The 17115-nt window shown below is 49.4% G+C and overlaps 2 protein-coding genes across 4 annotated transcripts in view, besides 6 other annotated features; one reads left to right on the top strand and one right to left on the bottom strand.

Annotated features, from left to right (window-relative positions):
• The window catches only part of CCDC85C (coiled-coil domain containing 85C), a 104018-nt gene extending 88817 nt beyond the window's left edge, over positions 1 to 15201 (top strand). Inside the window, exon 6 of the mRNA NM_001144995.2 lies at positions 56 to 15201. Within this exon, the coding sequence (NP_001138467.1) occupies positions 56 to 145 (90 nt within the window). The 3' untranslated portion in view covers positions 146 to 15201. The remainder of the gene's footprint in view (positions 1 to 55) is intronic.
• Positions 2085 to 3085: an enhancer, noted in NCBI's record as "H3K4me1 hESC enhancer chr14:99978643-99979643 (GRCh37/hg19 assembly coordinates)". NCBI's record gives its function as "activates a minimal SCP1, AML or CMV promoter by ChIP-STARR-seq in primed H9 embryonic stem cells {active_cell/tissue: H9 hESC(primed)}" and the evidence as "EXISTENCE:reporter gene assay evidence [ECO:0000049][PMID:30033119]".
• CCNK (cyclin K) overlaps positions 2951 to 17115 on the bottom strand; it is a 31032-nt gene continuing 16867 nt past the window's right edge. For all 3 annotated transcript variants that reach the window (XM_047431839.1, XM_005268154.5, NM_001099402.2), the window contains 7 exons: positions 14520 to 14625; positions 13978 to 14035; positions 13015 to 13184; positions 12407 to 12672; positions 11747 to 11780; positions 8244 to 8315; positions 2951 to 5234 (listed from right to left, as the gene is read on the bottom strand). In XM_047431839.1, the coding sequence (XP_047287795.1) occupies positions 4609 to 5234; positions 8244 to 8315; positions 11747 to 11780; positions 12407 to 12672; positions 13015 to 13184; positions 13978 to 14035; positions 14520 to 14625 (1332 nt within the window). In that variant the 3' untranslated portion in view covers positions 2951 to 4608. The remainder of the gene's footprint in view (positions 5235 to 8243; positions 8316 to 11746; positions 11781 to 12406; positions 12673 to 13014; positions 13185 to 13977; positions 14036 to 14519; positions 14626 to 17115) is intronic.
• Positions 3086 to 3585: an enhancer, noted in NCBI's record as "H3K4me1 hESC enhancer chr14:99978143-99978642 (GRCh37/hg19 assembly coordinates)". NCBI's record gives its function as "activates a minimal SCP1, AML or CMV promoter by ChIP-STARR-seq in primed H9 embryonic stem cells {active_cell/tissue: H9 hESC(primed)}" and the evidence as "EXISTENCE:reporter gene assay evidence [ECO:0000049][PMID:30033119]".
• Positions 3586 to 4087: an enhancer, noted in NCBI's record as "H3K4me1 hESC enhancer chr14:99977641-99978142 (GRCh37/hg19 assembly coordinates)". NCBI's record gives its function as "activates a minimal SCP1, AML or CMV promoter by ChIP-STARR-seq in naive H9 embryonic stem cells {active_cell/tissue: H9 hESC(naive)}" and the evidence as "EXISTENCE:reporter gene assay evidence [ECO:0000049][PMID:30033119]".
• Positions 6530 to 7085: an enhancer, noted in NCBI's record as "H3K4me1 hESC enhancer chr14:99974643-99975198 (GRCh37/hg19 assembly coordinates)". NCBI's record gives its function as "activates a minimal SCP1, AML or CMV promoter by ChIP-STARR-seq in naive and primed H9 embryonic stem cells {active_cell/tissue: H9 hESC(naive and primed)}" and the evidence as "EXISTENCE:reporter gene assay evidence [ECO:0000049][PMID:30033119]".
• Positions 11783 to 12283: an enhancer, noted in NCBI's record as "H3K4me1 hESC enhancer chr14:99969445-99969945 (GRCh37/hg19 assembly coordinates)". NCBI's record gives its function as "activates a minimal SCP1, AML or CMV promoter by ChIP-STARR-seq in naive H9 embryonic stem cells {active_cell/tissue: H9 hESC(naive)}" and the evidence as "EXISTENCE:reporter gene assay evidence [ECO:0000049][PMID:30033119]".
• Positions 12284 to 12784: an enhancer, noted in NCBI's record as "H3K4me1 hESC enhancer chr14:99968944-99969444 (GRCh37/hg19 assembly coordinates)". NCBI's record gives its function as "activates a minimal SCP1, AML or CMV promoter by ChIP-STARR-seq in naive H9 embryonic stem cells {active_cell/tissue: H9 hESC(naive)}" and the evidence as "EXISTENCE:reporter gene assay evidence [ECO:0000049][PMID:30033119]".

The following is a 17115-nucleotide window of genomic DNA, read 5'->3' as shown; positions in this document are numbered from 1 at the left end:
GGCGGCAGGTGGACGCGGGTGAGTCCCACCACTCACATCTCTCTCCTCTCCACAGGTGGTCTGGAGAAAGCTGGGAGATGCAGCCAGCTCCAAGCCCTCCATACGGCAGCACCTGTCTGGGAACCAGTTCAAGGGGCCTTTGTAGGGCCACTCTTCTGTGGACGTGGACTGGCCCTGCTGGGGGTCCCCAGGGGGAGTTTCAGGCCCCAGACACGGGCAGGACCTCCAGCCCAGCCCCTGTCTTCTTCCTCTGTGGTGAACTGTACATAGGACGCTGCCCGCCCTGGCCCAGCTGCCATGGGTCCGATGCACTGGCCCAAGCCGCCATCTCCCGCCTCATACACCAGCAACCTGGGAAGACGAGACGCTGCGACTGTTCCTGCAGCAGAGCGGCCCGGACGCCTCATTCCCCCTCTGGGCCCTGGGCTCCATGAGCAAGAGGCTGCAGGCTGCTTCTGAGATCCAGCCTGGGAACTGTCCAGGCTCCTCTGTCCTGCCTGGGATGGAGGGGCCACTCATCAAACCCTCTACTCCCCGGCTGCCACCCACACTGGACAGAGACCACCACTACCTGGGTCTTGACGCAGGTGGCACCACTTCTTGCCCAAATGCCGTGGCCTGGCCCCAGGCCCCCCAAGCACTGGGTCCCCGGCATGTGGACAAGGCCACTCACCACATCTGTGGCTGGCTGGAGGCTGCCCTGGGCCCTTCCTGTGACCCTCAGCCTTGGAGGTCAGGGTGCCCTCACACCTGGGGATCTGTGCTCAGCCACCCGATGCCCGCTGCTCCTTGCTTTTGGAGGTCATCCCCCTCCCCCCCAGTCTCTGCAATGTCCCCCTGCCACCCTGTCCAGGCTATGCCCTTCTTGGGCTCCTCCTGCCCCATGCCTGAGGCACGTCCCTTTTCGTGGTTTACATGACAGGCCAGTAACAGGAAGGGCCTGGGGAGAGTTTCTGGGCTGAGCCACATGTGATTTTCCTGATGGGCAGCACTGGGCCACAGCTGGGGCTCTGGTTGGCTGTGACCTCCCCCAGGGCCTGGCTGCATCTTGGGTCCCTGTGGACAGAGCTGTGTAGGCTGCAGATGAGAGTTCTGTTCTTTTTGGGAAGGAGCGTGTCTGGCCAGGTTCTGCCTTTAGTTTGTGGTGTGACCTTTAGCAGTTCACTCAGCCTGTCTGGGCTCTTGGTGGAAACAGGTCTCTGAGGTTCCTTTTCGGCCATGCTTATGGCTCCAGGTCATCCAGCGCCACAGGGCAGGGGTCCTCACTGAGGGGGCGTGAGCCAACAGCCGACGGCTGAGGGCGGGCCGGGTGGAGCTGAGTTCTGCTGCCTTGCAGTCGCTGCGGGTGGAGAGTTGCCTCCCCACTCTGAGCCCGTGTCCTCAGTAGTAAAATGGGCAGCATAAGGCCCTCCTCACAGGATTCTGGCATCAAGTGAGATCTTCAGTGTAAATGACCATGTATAAACTGTAAAGTGCAATAGAAAACTGTGTGTGTGAGGAAAGTAAGGCCTAGAGGGGGTGATGTGTGGCACATGACAGGGATTTTGATCCCACAGCTGCAGCACGGGGACAGGCCGCTTCCCCACATCCGCTCATGCCACTGTAAGCAGCCCTAGCTCTTGGGTCCAGGACCTCACCAGGTCCTCGTCAGACTCCTGTGCTCTTCCAGGGGCTGCTCAGCCCCACCTGAAGAGCCCAGAGAGGCTGTCTTCCTACCCAGCAGGTCTCATGCAGGCCCAGGGCTGGGGATGCAGGCAAGAGGAGGGAGATGGCCGCCCTGTCCCTCTCCCTAGCTGGCGGCTCTATTCTGAGCAGTTCTTGCTGCCCGTTTGCTCTCAGGGGAAAGGCTCACGCCCCCCATCTTAGCCCCAGGGGGGTAAGTGGGTGCTGGTGATGGGATGGTGTGGCGCTCCTGCCGTGGGTGTTGCCAGGAGGCTCTTTGGGAAGGAGTGTCGCCCGGTCAGGTGGTGCGCTCCCGGTCACTAGGGGTGTACACGTGAAGTTGGGTGAACACCTGCTGCTCATGGTACCCAGTGATTCTTGCCCGAGTGGGCAGCTGAGCAGAGGCCCCTCTGGGTCTTGCAGTCCAAAGAACCGCAGAGTAGCCCAAGGGCTGTGGGTCCATTTTGAGTGGCAGCCAAGTCTGGGAGCCCGTGTGCATCATGTTTGGGTCAGGTTGGCGTGGCCACCACTGAAATAAGCAATAAGTACGGGCTCCTGGTACCTGCGGATCTCCTGCAAACAGGCCCAGAGAACAGCCTTGAAGCCACCTTTCCCCTCAAGGGGACTGACCCTGTCTTTAATGCTGCAGTGGCATCCAGGGATCAGTGGAACATTGCTTTGAGAACCCTCCTGCTGTTACGGAGGCAGCACAAAGCTGGTGACCCCTGAGCCAACACGGCACTGGGATGGCTTTCTAGGACAGAACCCTGTCGGCGACTGTCACATCTCAAACTAATAGCTGATTTTAAAAGCCAGCAGCAGCGACGCCATGTACCTGAGTACAGGTGGCAGTTGCAGAGCCGTGGGCTGTAGAAGGTCAGATGGGGCTTCCCACAGGGGAAATCTGGGCATGCTGTAGCTCAGGGTGACTCCCAGCTCCGTCACTAGCAGGGCGACCCCCTTCCTTCTGGAGCCTTAGCTCTGAAAGCCCCCAGTGGGGGTGCCCTTTCAGATGCCCCCTTTCCATTTCAAAGGCTCTGACTCTTGATCTTGAAGCCGGACGCGGCACTGGCACTCGGCTTCAGTTTCCACTGTGACAGATGGAGGTCTCCTTTCGCCCCAGCCCAGGTGGCCAAGCCCATCCTGGCCTCAGAACATGCTGAGCACATTTTGTAGGGTGGCACCTTTTTATCCAAGTTACTAGCTACACATCAGTGTTTAAAGAGAAAAAAGTGACCTTTCATTTTTTTTTTCTTGAAACTTGAGGAAACAAGATACATACTACTGATTTTTTTTTTTTCTTAAAACTAAATGCATGACTGCAGAGCGGTAGAGGTGTATATTTTTCATACTGTGGGGCAAAGTATTTGTGCTGCTTTTTGGAGATGGACTGGAACGTCTGGTTTCTGTCCCCGGGCCCGGCAGCTACGTCTATTTTCTGTAGAAGGTGCCACAGTGAGACCTGGAGCCACCCCTTCCTGCCCTGGCGCCGTTTAGAGCTGGGAGCCCGTGGACTCCCGGCCTGTTTCTACCTTCTATTCAACCACTCTGACGTGGGGAGACAAGAAGAAATAGAACTTTTTGATAGTGTGGTAAAAACATTGATTTGAACTATTTTAGTAAAAGGAGTAACAAACAAGATTGTGATAGTGTCTACTTTGAGCTAGATAAATAAAGGCCTCTTTGTGAGCCTCCTGGCTGGGTGCTCAGTGCTTGTTTCTGTCGTGGGTGGCAGGGTCAGCAGGCAGAGACAGGGCCAAGGCCCCTCAAGCACCGCAGATGGGGGCTCAGTCGGGGCCCCTTCCACAGACAGAGCCGTGGCCCCTCAAGGTGGACAGTGAGGCCGCTGCTCCTCCAGCTGCCTCTGTCTCATCACAGGCCAGAAGTGGAAAGGGTTTCAAATCCAAGCCCCCGGGTTCCTGTGTGCGTTCTACGCAGCAAGGCTTCAAAGTTTCAAACTGGTTTGGAACTCAACCAGGTCCTCCAAAGGAAACCAAGGCAGGCACAGGATGGGGGCAGGCTGGCTTGGCAGGCAGCTGTGCGGATCCACCCAGAGTGCCTTGGGAGGCAGTGGGGTTGGCTGTGGCTGCTGTGAGCTGCAGCCAGGCCTCTCCCGCGTCCCCAGGGTCTGGAAGGAGGGCCTCTGCACATTTTATAAGCCACAGACTGCGAAGGCCTGGAGCCCCACCTTCCACCCATAACAAAGAAAGGGATAGTTTCAGAACTGCTTTTATTTGGATAACTGACTGAAGGAGTCTCATTTGTAACCAAGATGGAATTCACAGTATGTTGTTACATTCACACTTAAAAAATATATCTCTATGTACAGGAATTTGCAAAGAGATGTAAACATACATTAATTTCCAAGTACATTTCTCCCCTTCTCCCTGGAGGAAAAAAAAAAAGCCATCCAATGAGGCAACCCCTTCAAAATAATTTTAATACAAAGGATGCAAACATCTATAAATGAAAAATGTGGTTCTTCTGCCCCTTCTGGGTGTCATGGGAGAGAATGTCACCGAATGAAAATGACAACAGCTTGGCTTCAGATGGAATTGGACTATTTAAAATTGAGTTTCCAGGAAAAATAGGCACTGATTTCTAGAAGGAAATTAACTCCTTACCGAAGCTATTTATTGAGCCAATATGGCTGGTTAACGTCCTCACTAGTATAAAGTAACCCAGTGCAGGACTCTCAGACATTAGCTGAACCAAGTGTACACAGTCAGACTGCAAGGGCACTGATGAGGCTACTCTGAAAGCTGGTTGTCCCCGTCCTCTAGGTGTGAGGACCACTCTGATTTTATCCCAGGGGCCCGGTCCATTCTTCCCATACTGCAACTGTCGTGCATTATACAAGGTACCCTGCTGCTTACCCACTTCAACTACTCTGCAAGTCGATTAGAAAATCTTGTTAAAAAAACAAAGAGGGAAAAAAGGCTCACGTTATCTCATCCAGGCTGCCCGCCCCAGCCCCCCAACTGGAGGCATGCCGGGTGGGGGAATGGGCGGGGGCACAGGAGGCTGTCCTCCAGGGGGGACGGCAGGAGGTGGGTAGCTGGCTGGCGGCAGGCCCAACCCTGGAGGAGGATGAGGGGGGACTGCGTGGGTAGGCGGGAGGCGTGGGGGTGGGGGTGGGAAGTTGGGGTTGTAGGTGGGTGGGGGTGGGGGGTAGCCAGGAGTAGGGGGTGGGATGGCAGGTGGGGGGAAGGAGGCTGGGGGAGGAGGCACAGGTGGCGGGGGCGGGTTGGGCGGGTAGACATGGGGGTGGTAGGGCAGGTGTGCAGGTGGGCCGTAGGCGGGGGGCAGGGCACCGTAGGAGGGTCCCTCGGTCTTCATCATGGACTGCAGGCTCTGGTAGCCCTCTCCAGACATGTAGGAGCTGGTGGTGGACATCCCGGTCATGTAGCTGGAGGGGGGTGGGGGCGGGGGCCGGTGTGGCAGCGGCGGTGGCTGGTGCACAGGGGCCGGGTGGGCCGGAGGGGGAATCTGGACTTTGGGGAGGTCAGTGGCATCCACAGGGCCCGGCGGCTCAGCCTCACCTAAGGCAGCAGCGAGGGGAGGCTTCCGGTCTGCAGGAGAGAGACGCATCAGTGCCCGGCCTCCGCCAGCAATGGTTGCTTTTTCAGTGCCTCCTGGCCCTTCAGGGCCATCTTTACAGAGGAGCAGGGAGCAGCTGCCCGCCTCCTCTGTGGCCCAACGCATGGGCCCATGCCCCATGTCCTGATGCCACCAGATGTCTCCCCACCATCTGTCAAGAAGGCCCTCCACCCTGTCTGCGACGACCTGGGGTTTTCCCTCCCTCAGCCCTGACCACACCACCTACAGGCAGTCTCGGCAGCACCCGAAGCCCCCTTGTGCCCTGGCCCCAGCCCCCTCTTCCTAGTGCAAAACGTGTGGGGGCTCCTCTGTTTTTCTGCCTTCAGAAACTGACCCCAGGGGTCAGGGCCACACTGAACTCCTGTCTGCAGCAGTGGCATTTTGCAGAAAACCTCAGAGTTAGTCAAATGAATGTGATGGCACTTAAAACAATTCTGTACAAGTCTCTGACATTCCCGGTGTACCCATCGAAGCAGCAATTCAGGTTCTATTCTACTCAAGAGAGGCTACATCAAACCCCACTGTGTGCTCTCAGATAGCAGCCTCCTTGAGAGGAGTGTGTGCATGTGTGTGCGTGTGCGTGCTGCGTGCGTGCTGCATGTCTGTGCGTGCTGCGTGTGTGTGCGTGCTGCGTGTGCAGCAGGGACAGGCAGCACTAGGTGTTGAGCACGCCCAAGATACTCGTGCTCAGAACCAGCCTCAGGCCCCTCCCACAGCGCCTCCCAACCCATGAGCCCTCACGCCCCCTTCTGCCAAAGCCTTATTTAACATGTTTTGGCCTGTGATCCCGGGTCACCGTCAGACCACTGGAAAATGACATCGCAACACCCCACCACAGGTAGCCAAACACACAGAATGAGTGTCCTTTCCCAAGGCAGCCCAGGAGACAGACCACAGGAGCAACATTTCTGGTTCCAGAGAACATAGAGAGGACAAAGCCACGAAGATGCTTCTGGTTCCCCAGGCACTTGGGTTAGGCAAGGCACAGCACGACATCCTGGTTGGGTAGACGTGGCCATTGGCACACAACCCGTTTGATCTTGCCAAAGCGAGCATGAGCAGGATTTCATCAGGTCGGTAACAGGTGTGCCACTGGTGTGCCACATCAGCACCCCGCCAGCCTACCGGGTAGGAAGGTCATATGTGCCTGGCCTTAGATAACTGGCTTTGGCTCCAGGTCAGGGCCAGATGCCCTGTGGTTCTAGGAGCTGACTAAAAAAGAGGTGCAGAAAAGTGCTGACACCCTTCAATGCCTCCTGTGTGTCACTCCACAGCCACCTGGGCCCACAGGCCTGCTCCTCCACCTTGCAGAAATCAACTTTTCCAACACTCGACCCTGTAGCCTGAATCTTCAAGTCACCAGTGTGCCTGCCCTTGTGCTGTGTGACTGAGCTGGAACAGCAAGTGGGGGTCTCTCCTGGGCACCCCATTCCCTCTCTGTACACTTGCTCCTGACCAAGTCCCACACACTGCCACCAAACTGCTCCCTAAACATCACTGCTGACCTGAATGCCTCTTCCCATGGCCTAGGGCCTCCCAGGAAGCGTACTTCCCTCCCTTCCTCACGGCCCAGCTTTACTGCGCCTCCCAGGCCCTGCTCTCTTCAGCCATGGCCTCCTGGCAGTGTATCTGGCACCCAGGTCCCACTCAAGTCCCAGGCCTACTCCTGGCTATCTGTAATGGGGGAGGGAGCAGAGCTCTGAGGCCTCCACAGCAGCTACTCAGTGCCCTGGAGGTAGCAGCACCCCTGTGGCTGCCCCAGGCTCCCCAGATAAACCACCCATCTCCTCAGTGAAGGCACAGCCCCAGGCTCGGACCAGGGGAACTGCACTTGGCGAGGAGGTGCTCCATAAATGCTTCATGAGCAACCACAGGCATTTAAGTAAGGTTCATATTGAATTGGGGGTTTTGGGATTTGGCCCCAAAGTGGAAAATGACGCCTCTGTTCTCCCAAAGCACAAACACTATCATGATTGAGTAGGAACAGAAATGTAATCTGTGGCACATCTGTTACGGGCACACAGTGCTGTCAGCCCCAGTGTGAGCCACGTGCACCGACCAACAGTGAGTGTAGCAGGCTGGAGGAGCTGCTGACAGAGGCTTGGAAGCCTCCGGAGTATCGACCACCTTTTGGAGAGCAAGCACAGGTCACTCTGGCCTTCTCTAGCGCATCACCTTCTGAAATGGTGCCACAGGTAAAGAATGCCATCTACTTTACAGCTTTTCTCCTCTATTGCCAGCGGTATCAGAGAGGCTTTCCAGCTTACCATGTACTACTTGTTGAGAACTTTTCACTCTTTCATTTACTCTCTGTACAATTGCTTATTCTTCAGAATGCACTAAGACGACACACTGCCAATAGGAAGCAGGTGTAGGGGCGGCCGGAGCCTAGTAGCCACAGTAACCCTGCCTCTATCTCAGAAGGCGGGGTTTGGCTTTCTTTCCTAAAACTGATTCTAATACAATGTGTAGTTTAGCATTTCTGGATGTGAGAGGTCGGAAAATATTCAGATATACTTAACAATTTACAACATTCTCAAAATACCTGGTCAAAATCAGAACTTTGAGACACGGTCTCCCTCTCACCCAGGCTGGAGTACGGTGGTGCAATCATAGCTCACTGCAGCCTTGACTGCCCAGGGCTCAAATGATCTTCCCATCTCAGACTCCTAAGTAGTTGGGACTACAGGTGTGTGCTACCACACCTGGCTAATTTTTTAGACAGGGTCTCACTTTGTTGCCCAGGCTGACCTCGAACTCCTGGGGTCAGGTGATTCTCCTGCCTCCGCCTCCCAAAGTGCTGGGATCAAAAACACAAGCCATTGTGCCCAGCCCAAGAACAATTTTGCAAAGATTCCTGCCTGTGGCTGACATTGTCAATCTGGGCCCCAGTCTCCCTTTTCTAAGTTCCCAGGACCTGCTGCGTCCAACATTCAGAGGCGATGTGCACAGCTGGCCAAGCTGCTTCAGCAGATGCTTACCTGGAGGTGGGTGGGCTGGAGGCAACGGTGGATGAGTGGTCTCAATTTTGGGGATTTTAGGTGGTGGTGGTTCTACAAAGAAAAAGCAGATTAGAAAACCACTCATACTTCTTCACATGAATAAGCATGTCATAAAGAAAAATGTACTGGCAGAGATTTCTTTGGGAGAAAAACAACAGAGATGACCAAGGCTTTAAGGGAACTTGAAGAAGGTTTCAGCTAAACCATTATGCATGAATCCTGTTAACAAATTAAATGCCACCTCCCTCCAAAAGACCTGCGAGCTTCCCACAGGCAGCCCATTTTCCATGTCTACCTAAGTTTCCTTGCTGACCACTTCACTCAAGTCCTTCCGACCATGTGAGACCAGCAGAGCAACGTCTTCATGAGCATGTATGACCTATCTGGAGTCCTCCCTGGTACAGAGGACACAAAGAAGGGTCCAGAGTAGCAACATCATGTCACTGAGTCCCCTGAGGGTTCCACAAGAGAATCTCTATCTTTTCATTCTTAGACATAGTTTATTCTCTCTTTCCCAAATACTGACTTCCAGTTGGCAGCATGTCAGAAGCAGCACATTAACTGGAGTCAGCAGAGCTCTGGAGGTTGACACACTGATGGCAGGAAGAATGTGCCGCTCACAAAAGCCCAGCAGTCAGGACCCCTTGAGGTGGAGGAAACAGCCCACCCTTCCGGGGTCAGGCAGCGGCACGCAGCCAGAATCCACAATGACAGCACTAGGTCTCCAAGGCAGCCCAAGGGAAGTCCAATCTCATCCGTTTAAGAAGGCAGCGTGCACATCACAACTGAAAAAGAACCCTATTTTTCTGTTTGCATGCTGAGGCTTTTTCTTCCTGAAATGTACTTTCTTCTGGCTTGTACACCACTCAGATCTGAGTCTCCTCTGCCATCACTGGCCTCTTTCTCTGGATTTCCTCCATCTCAAATACAGGCTCAATTTAAGTTCCAGGGACTTCCTCTCTCTTCACCCTCTTCCTCAGAGTCCAAAGCCCCTCTCTAAGTGGACAACTACAAACCTACATTTCTAGCGTCCATCTTGCCACCAAAACCATGGCCCATCCCTAGACCCACCAATCAGCACCTCACACTCTACCTTTTGCCTCTGTATCCTATAACTGCTATTACTCTCACCTCAGGGACCCACCTCCTGCCTTTTTCCACAGCTGGTAATAGTTAGCTAAAGCCGTCTACATCAGGGCTGTCCAACAGCAATATAACTGAGAGCCACATATCTACAATTTTAAACTTTCCAGGAGCCATTTTATTTTTTGAGACAGGGTCTCGCTCTGTCACCCAGGCTGGAGTGTAGTAATGTAATCATGGCTCACTGCAGCTTCAACCAACCAGGCTCAAGTGATCTTGCTGCCTGAGTCTCCCAAGTAGCTGGGACCATAGGTGTGGCGCCACCACGCCGAGCTGATTTTTAAGTTTTGTGTAGTGATGGGGTCACCCTATGTGGCCCAGTCTGGCCTGGAACTCCTGGGCTCAAAGCATGCCTTGGCCTCCCAAAGTGCTGGGATTACAAGTGTGCCAGGAACCACTTTAACAAGAAAAAGGAGCACTCCAGCCTGCATTAACAGAGCAAGACTCTGGAAATAAAAGGAAAAAGGATAAAATTTATTTAACCCGATAGATCGAAAATTTTATTTCAACATGTAACCAATATAAAGCTTTACTAATGAGATGTCTTACGTTCTCCTTTCTTGGAAATCTCTGTGTATTTTGCATTGTCAGTGCTTCAGAATTTGACCCAGTCACATTTCGAGTGCTTGCAGCCCTCTGCAGCCAGTAGCCTTCGGCATGGCACAGTGCAGCTGAGTTCCTCTATAAAGCTTCCTCCGGATCTGCCCTTCCTGCCCCGCAGCCAGCATGCTGAGGCCACCATGTTTCCCATGAGTGCCAGCAAGATTCTCCCCATTCCTAACCACTTGCCCTATTTACTGCTGCCAGGGGACTCCTTCTCAAATGAATTTAGACTCTGCCATTCCCCTGCTAAATCTCCAATGGCTTCCCTTGCCTCTGCCAAACTCACAGTCCTCCAGGTAAACTCTGTGATCTGGTCCTAACCCACATTTTAGATCCTATCAGAAGCTATTGCCTTTCAATTCATCACATTCCAGAAAGACTCCTCTCCATTTCCCCTGATTCTCAATTCCTTTGCTCACTTGCGTACTTCCAACTTATTGCTCCATCCTCCCCCTCTGCTCTCGCTGCTCAAATGCAACTCTTCCTTCAAGGTCATATATAGTTTGTTTCCTGCCTCTGACAGACCTGCACGTCAACTCAATTGCATTTCATGTGGCATGGAGTGTAGCCCGTTCTTGTGTCTAACATTTAATGTCGGTCAATTTGAAGCTAATTAAAAAATTCACCTGTAGGCTGGGCACGGTGGCTCATGCCTGTAATCGCAGCACTTTGGGAGGCTGGGGCGAGCAGATCACCTGAGGTCGGGAGTTTGACACCTGCCTGACCAACATGGAGAAACCCTGTCTCTACTAAAAATACAAAATTAGCCAGGCCTGGTGGTGCATGCCTGTAATCCCAGCTACTCGGGAGGCTGAGGCAGGAGAATTGCTTGAACCCAGGAGGCGGAGGTTGTGGTGAGTTAAGATTGCACCGCTGCACTCCAGCCTGGGCAACAAGAGTGAAACTCTGTCTCAAAAAAAAAAAAAAAATTCACCTGTACTGAACTCATCATTCCCTCAAATATACTGGAAAAAAAAAAAAAGTAGCTCTATCATAACTGGAAGATTTCACAGCAGTTTAATGAATGGAACTAAGAACCGAGAACATGGTTCTAAGAACCAGGAACTACTGGAACTAAGAACCAAGTAACAAAGAAAGACAAATGAGTCAATAGGGTCTGTGCCTTCAAAGAGTTCAGTATGATAGGTGGACTGACCCTGTGACAAAACATTTCTAACTTTCTGTTTTGTAATTGTTCCAATTTTGCTCACTCCTTCTGTTTATTTCCAATATTGACATGAACTAACTTTGGGTTCTAGACATGTGACAGCACCTCAACCCAAGTGTGTTTCAAAGAGGCCTTGCCTGCAAGGGCAGCTGGGCTGGGCCGGGCTGGTGCTGTCCGGGCAGCACACCACCCCCTACTGCCCCCCCGCATCTGCTGTGGCTTGGTGCTTGGGAGAGGACTCCTGCTGCTGTGATGGGGGTAAATAGTCTCTAAAAATAAAATTGCAGCAACAGTTCTCCTACAGCCATAATTATACTTTTATATATGTTACTGAGTACATTTTTATTGCCAGTAATGTTTTCTGTACTGATAGCTTCGTAAGAGCACAATTTTAGAATCTATGATCAGGTGATGAACAGAAAGACAATGCTGATGGAAAAGTTTTGTATGAGCTCTAAAGTTAAGATTTAAGGCCAATTTAGATCTGAAAAGAAACAATGTTGGCTAAGAATTTAAAGTTTTGCATATAAACACATAAAACTAAAAAAACATCAGAACAGGAAATTACCTGCTGCTTTGTTCTCTTCTTTGGGAGAAACAACCTGTTACAAAAGAAAATACACAATTGTTAACTGGGATCCTGAGTATGATGAGAAAAAAATGGATTATCCAGGTACCACCAGAATCAGCGACGGCAGTCACTGTGAACAGCCTCGGACAAAAATTATTTCTAGCCTGAACTTTCAGGGCAAACCACGGCACCTACCAGATCATCATTTCTGCTCCCTTCCTCTTTCCATTTACCAAATAAGACAGAATGACTAGCTTTCCTGAATGGTGAGTTCTGAGTAAACACTAAGTTTCAGGACCACTTGGGTGCAGGAAACGGTCCACTGTTTGGGGTCAGGCAGCTGCACAGAAGCAGCATGCACAACGACACTGCTAGGACACGGCAACGACACCGACAGGCTTCAGAACCCTGGCAGGGATGAAACAGGCAGCAGGGCTGGAGCCGGGCAGAGAGCCCCCTCCTGGTTCTCAGAGGCAGCCTGTCCTTGGAGCACCTTTGTTTTCAGGCTCCCCACCGACAAGCAGTCGGACTGCGAGTTTCGGCGAACACCCCCTGCTTCCGGTGTTCCCTGTGCTCGCTTAGAAATGGGAACAGTGCTCAGGTGTTGCCGCCACCTGGAAAGCCTGCTCTACCCAGGGCCTGCTTTAGCCCACTCACCACGGCTCGCTTAACCTGTCGGGGAGAACTGGGCTGCGGAGAGGGTTTCTTGGGCTGTTGGGCTGGCTGCTGCTGCTGGGCTGGTTGCTGGGGGTCCTTCTGCTGGGGCTGGGATGGTTCGGAGCTTTGAGACGGCTGTGACTGCTGTACTTGCGGCACTTGTGGTGTAGGCTGAAGAGATGGGGGCTGTTGCAGCTGATGGGGGGTGTGATGAGGCATCTGTTGTTTTCCTTGTGAGTAAAGATCCAGGATTTGGTGGCAGATGTCTAAATGATAGCCAACAATTACATTTTACACAAATTGGTATTTTAAATAAAATTTTACCTGGATAAAGAATCAGTTATGATACCCCTACGAGGACCTAAGCATGAATCACATTTACAACTCACCCCATCTTCGTTGTGTGCAACACTGGTGTGTATTTTTAGTTTACCAAAAGTATGTGTTTGGACAAAGTGGAAACTATTAGATAATTTAATTAATGATGCTTCTGAAATATTGCTCACATATGTCTATCTGGGAAAATCCATTCTTGGGACTCAGGGTACACATGGAAGAATCATCTCAACATGGAACACCCTCACGAGAACGCTTAGCATGCCTGGTACCTTCCAAAACGTCGACCGGGACATCTTGAACAAACTGCTCCCACCATCTCCTATACATGGGTTTGGAGGTCCATTCTTGTATTTCAAATTTGCACAAACGTCCTGCGAGATACATCACTGCTACTGCTATGATCTCTGGTTCCCACTGCAGTGACAAGGTGGTGCAGAGACTAGTTCAACAAGAAAAAAAAAGGTTAGATAATATGATCTAATATTTATGATTAAACCAGTGCATGGAGATGCCATAACTAACCATTAATTTGCTTATTCTCCCCTAAATTTAATTAAAGTACTATAAATAAATAAACTCAAGTCTTTACTCTTCTAAAGGTACCCGACTAAGTTACTTTAACCATAGTTAGTAATTTCTCTATTCCTTAAAGAATCAGAAGAATTCTAGCACATCCAAAAATTGCTACACCAATGAAAATGACTTATGTTATTTAAACTGTTGAAATCCTAGCCACTCAACTGTTTCTTCAAATGAAATCTTATGGAGGAAGTCAAATGTAAGAGAAGCTTCACTGACTGCAGTGGGATGGGGCTGGCAGCAACTCCATTCACAGGCATTCTGTTTCCCACCACGGCCCCTCATTAGATCCCTGGCCTCTCAAAAGAGTGTTAAGGCTCTAAAACTATACCAGGAAGTATATTTTTGCAAAACCAAATGGGCTCTAAGTAATTAGTTTTCAAAATTCTCCAGTGTATTGTTTTGGACTTATGTTTCAGACTGGTGATAAAATTTCAGCACCTCACAACACCATGACACGGCAGGGCAGAAGGAAACCCTCTGCCGGGAAGCAGATGACCTGGACGTCAGCCCCAGCTTTGCCATTAACTGGCTCCTCAAGCCAGGGCAAGTCAGTTTCTTCTGACACAAAATGAGGGGTTTAGATGAAATGGTCCATAAAGTCTCTGCCTATTTTAAAATACTGTAATTAATCAACATTTGAACATGTATACCTGTCATTTACAAATGTCCATGCCATTTGAACCAACTTTTGAATTTTGTTTTTATCACCTAGAAATGGGGACAAAAAGGTAAATTAATAGCAATAGAAAAATTCACAGGCAGCATCAAGTATTTATTAAAAACCTACCACGTGTTCAGCACCACTCAAATACACAGCAAAGAGCTTTTGCGTGGGAAACAAGGATGAATGATGTGGGTCCACATCCTACCCCTTCTTCCTCCTCATGACCTACGCTGAACCACCATGTATGGAAAACCTGGCTCCAAGGCTAAGTTTATTAGTCCATTTAAAAAATTCTGCCTCATTTTCCTGCCTCTCCCATCACTTGGCAACTGGATGACAGAGCCTGTTTATACATAAAAGGAAACAGCATTAGCAGCTGCAATGCTGAATTGACTGAGCAAGCCATGCCCTTGGTATTTCACACATCAAACTTTGTTTTCCGCTTTTGAGAAGCGTAATTTGAGTGTCATCAAATTATAAAGACTTGATTTCAGAATGAAAAAATTCTTCTGAAAACTTTCTTCTTACCTTTGAGTTGCTTTGCATATTTTAGTAGGAACTGGTATGGATGTTCTACCTGTAAATCAAACTTGATGGTCTGCAGTAAGATTCTCTCCAGAACCATTACTTCCTCCTAAAAATCAATCACAAATGTTAGGACAGTAATTACAATTGCAGGTCTCAAGCAGCATTACAAAAGTGAGCTTTCCTGTCTATTTATTCTCTCTTCAAGTTATATTTTAGCAACTGCCTTTCCTTCCTTTCTCTCCCACTCAGACTTTTAACATGCTCAGAGACACTGATAAATTCTGAAAAGATCTCAAACAGGAAGACAAAGCAGAGGTGTAATGTAAAAAAAAATACTGAAAACAAAAGATCCTTAAAAATATTATTATTTTCAATACATACATGAGTCTCCCTTTACAAAACAGATCTTTACGTTATTGATAATTTGACTAAATTGTAATTTCTTTCAAGACCTCAAATTTTAAAAATGCAATCTTTTAGGAATTTTCATTGAAAACATTTTAAGCAAGAAAGAGTTTATGATAGCCAGCCTCATGAAAACTCAGAGATAAATTGTACCAGTGTGTGTGTATGTGTGTGTATATATACTCATGTACACATATAGTGTATTACGTGCAAATGGGGGCAAATCAATTTTGTGTTTAAATCTTTCATTTATTTGAAATAAATCATCCCAACAACACTTACTGAATAAATGATCATTTCCAATTTTATTTAAAATGCTACCTAAATCACCTCCTAAACTACGTGTGTATGTCTGCCTACACACACACTATCTTTTCTGTTCACTGATCTGCCTGTCTACTCCTGGACCAGGATCAAAGGGATTTGGGTGGGATACAATAGCTCCAGTATTACTTCTCTTTTTCAAACAGTTTCTGGGTTCTGCATGTCCCCCTCACTCAAATTTTAGTAACCATTTTACTTAGTATCATTACAGAAAACATACATGCTATTAATATTCTCATTGGAAACTCAGAGGATTTATAGAATAATTAGGGAGAATGGAGATTTTTAACCATATTGAAGTTTCCTTCCAAAAATTTATTAATATCTTTTCAGTCCTTTAGTTGTTTTAAAGTCCTTTCCACCCCACTAACGAGGTTTCCACAAGGTTTAACCTTGGATATTTTACTGTTGCTATCGTTAATGGAATGTCCTCTTTGATGATACTCTCTAACTAATGTCTTGAACTCAGCCCCTGTACAGCCGACTGTACCTACTGCTTAAAGACAACATAAACCACAACCAAGACACTGTGTGCGGGGAGGACAATTTGAGAGAATTCCTTGTTTGGCATCAAAGACAGGGCGTTGTAGAGGACTGTAAATCTCATCAACAGGTGCAGAGACCCACAGGTCACTGGCTTTCATTTAGAAGCATGGTATTATTTTATAGGATACAGAGATGATTCTATAATTATTATTCCAAATTACATGGCAAGACTAAGGTTTTTCAATCTTAGTTTCCCAAGCATTTTCTCATGAAAGTTTTTTAAAATCTTAGAAACTTTCACACAGTGTAAAAAAAACTGGGCTGGACATGGTGGCTCATGCCTGTAATCCCAGCACTTTGGGAGGCCGAGGCGGGCAGATCACTTGAGGTCAGGAGTTCAAGACCAGCCTGGCCAACATGCTGAAACCCCACCTCTACCAAAAATATAAAAATTAGCCAATCATGGTGGCAGGCGCCTGTAGTCCCCTACTTGGGAAGCTGAGGCAGGAGAATCGCTCGAGCCTGGGCGGCAGAGGCTGCAGTGAGCTGAGACTGTGCCACTGCACTCCAGCCTGAGTAACAAGAGTGAGACTCCATCTCAAAAAACAAAACAAAACAATTTTTTTCTTTGAATGTCATTGTCACCACCTGCTTCCCAGAAGCTTCAACACTTCCTCTAAATTTAGAAACAATTCTTTTTACCAAGTGTACCAATTGGCTTGCAGGCTGTAGCCCACATACTGTTACAGGATAGCCCAGGGCCTGCCCTCCCTCTGTCTTCCAAATATTCAATTAATGGGGTCATTATAGGTCTTTGAGCAAACATCATTCCTCAGGAACGCCTTCCCTCAGCCCCTATTTATCCGGGGGACTTGCCTGGGTCCCTGGGTGGAATGCTATCACAGCACCTTAAATGACCTTTTACAGCGTACACCACAACTCATCATCAAATAGTTATATACTCATTTGATTAAAATTTATCCTGCCACTCAACTGCAGAGTCCATGAGAGCAGAGACCATGTCTGTTCTGCCTCGTGCCTCATGTCTAGTGCCCAACACAAAGGCTGAAACGAATATTACAGAGAAAAGCCACACAATTAAAATAAAGCTAATTAAGGCAAAAAATGTTCCATGGGACTCATGATCTTATTTTTCCTAAATACTTATACTGCCTCCACTAAAGAATTGCCCTCCTGTCTGCAGAGGAAAACATCTTCCCCAATGTCTTCACTGCTCCCAGCTCCAGGTGTTTTCCTTTGGCCCCGACTCCGACCAGGGAAGACTGCGCGAGATAGAGAGGCAGGGGGCAGGTTGCAAAGCCCCCTCCCCCATTCAGACCTAATTGGTATGGTGACCCCTCTTTTCCCATTTTCTGGGGCA

The sequence above is a fragment of the Homo sapiens genome, chromosome 14 (genome assembly GCF_000001405.40).
Source record: "Homo sapiens chromosome 14, GRCh38.p14 Primary Assembly".
NCBI lineage: Eukaryota > Metazoa > Chordata > Mammalia > Primates > Hominidae > Homo > Homo sapiens.
The sequence above is the reverse complement of the archived record's forward strand: the minus strand, read 5'-3'. Positions and strand labels throughout refer to the sequence as shown.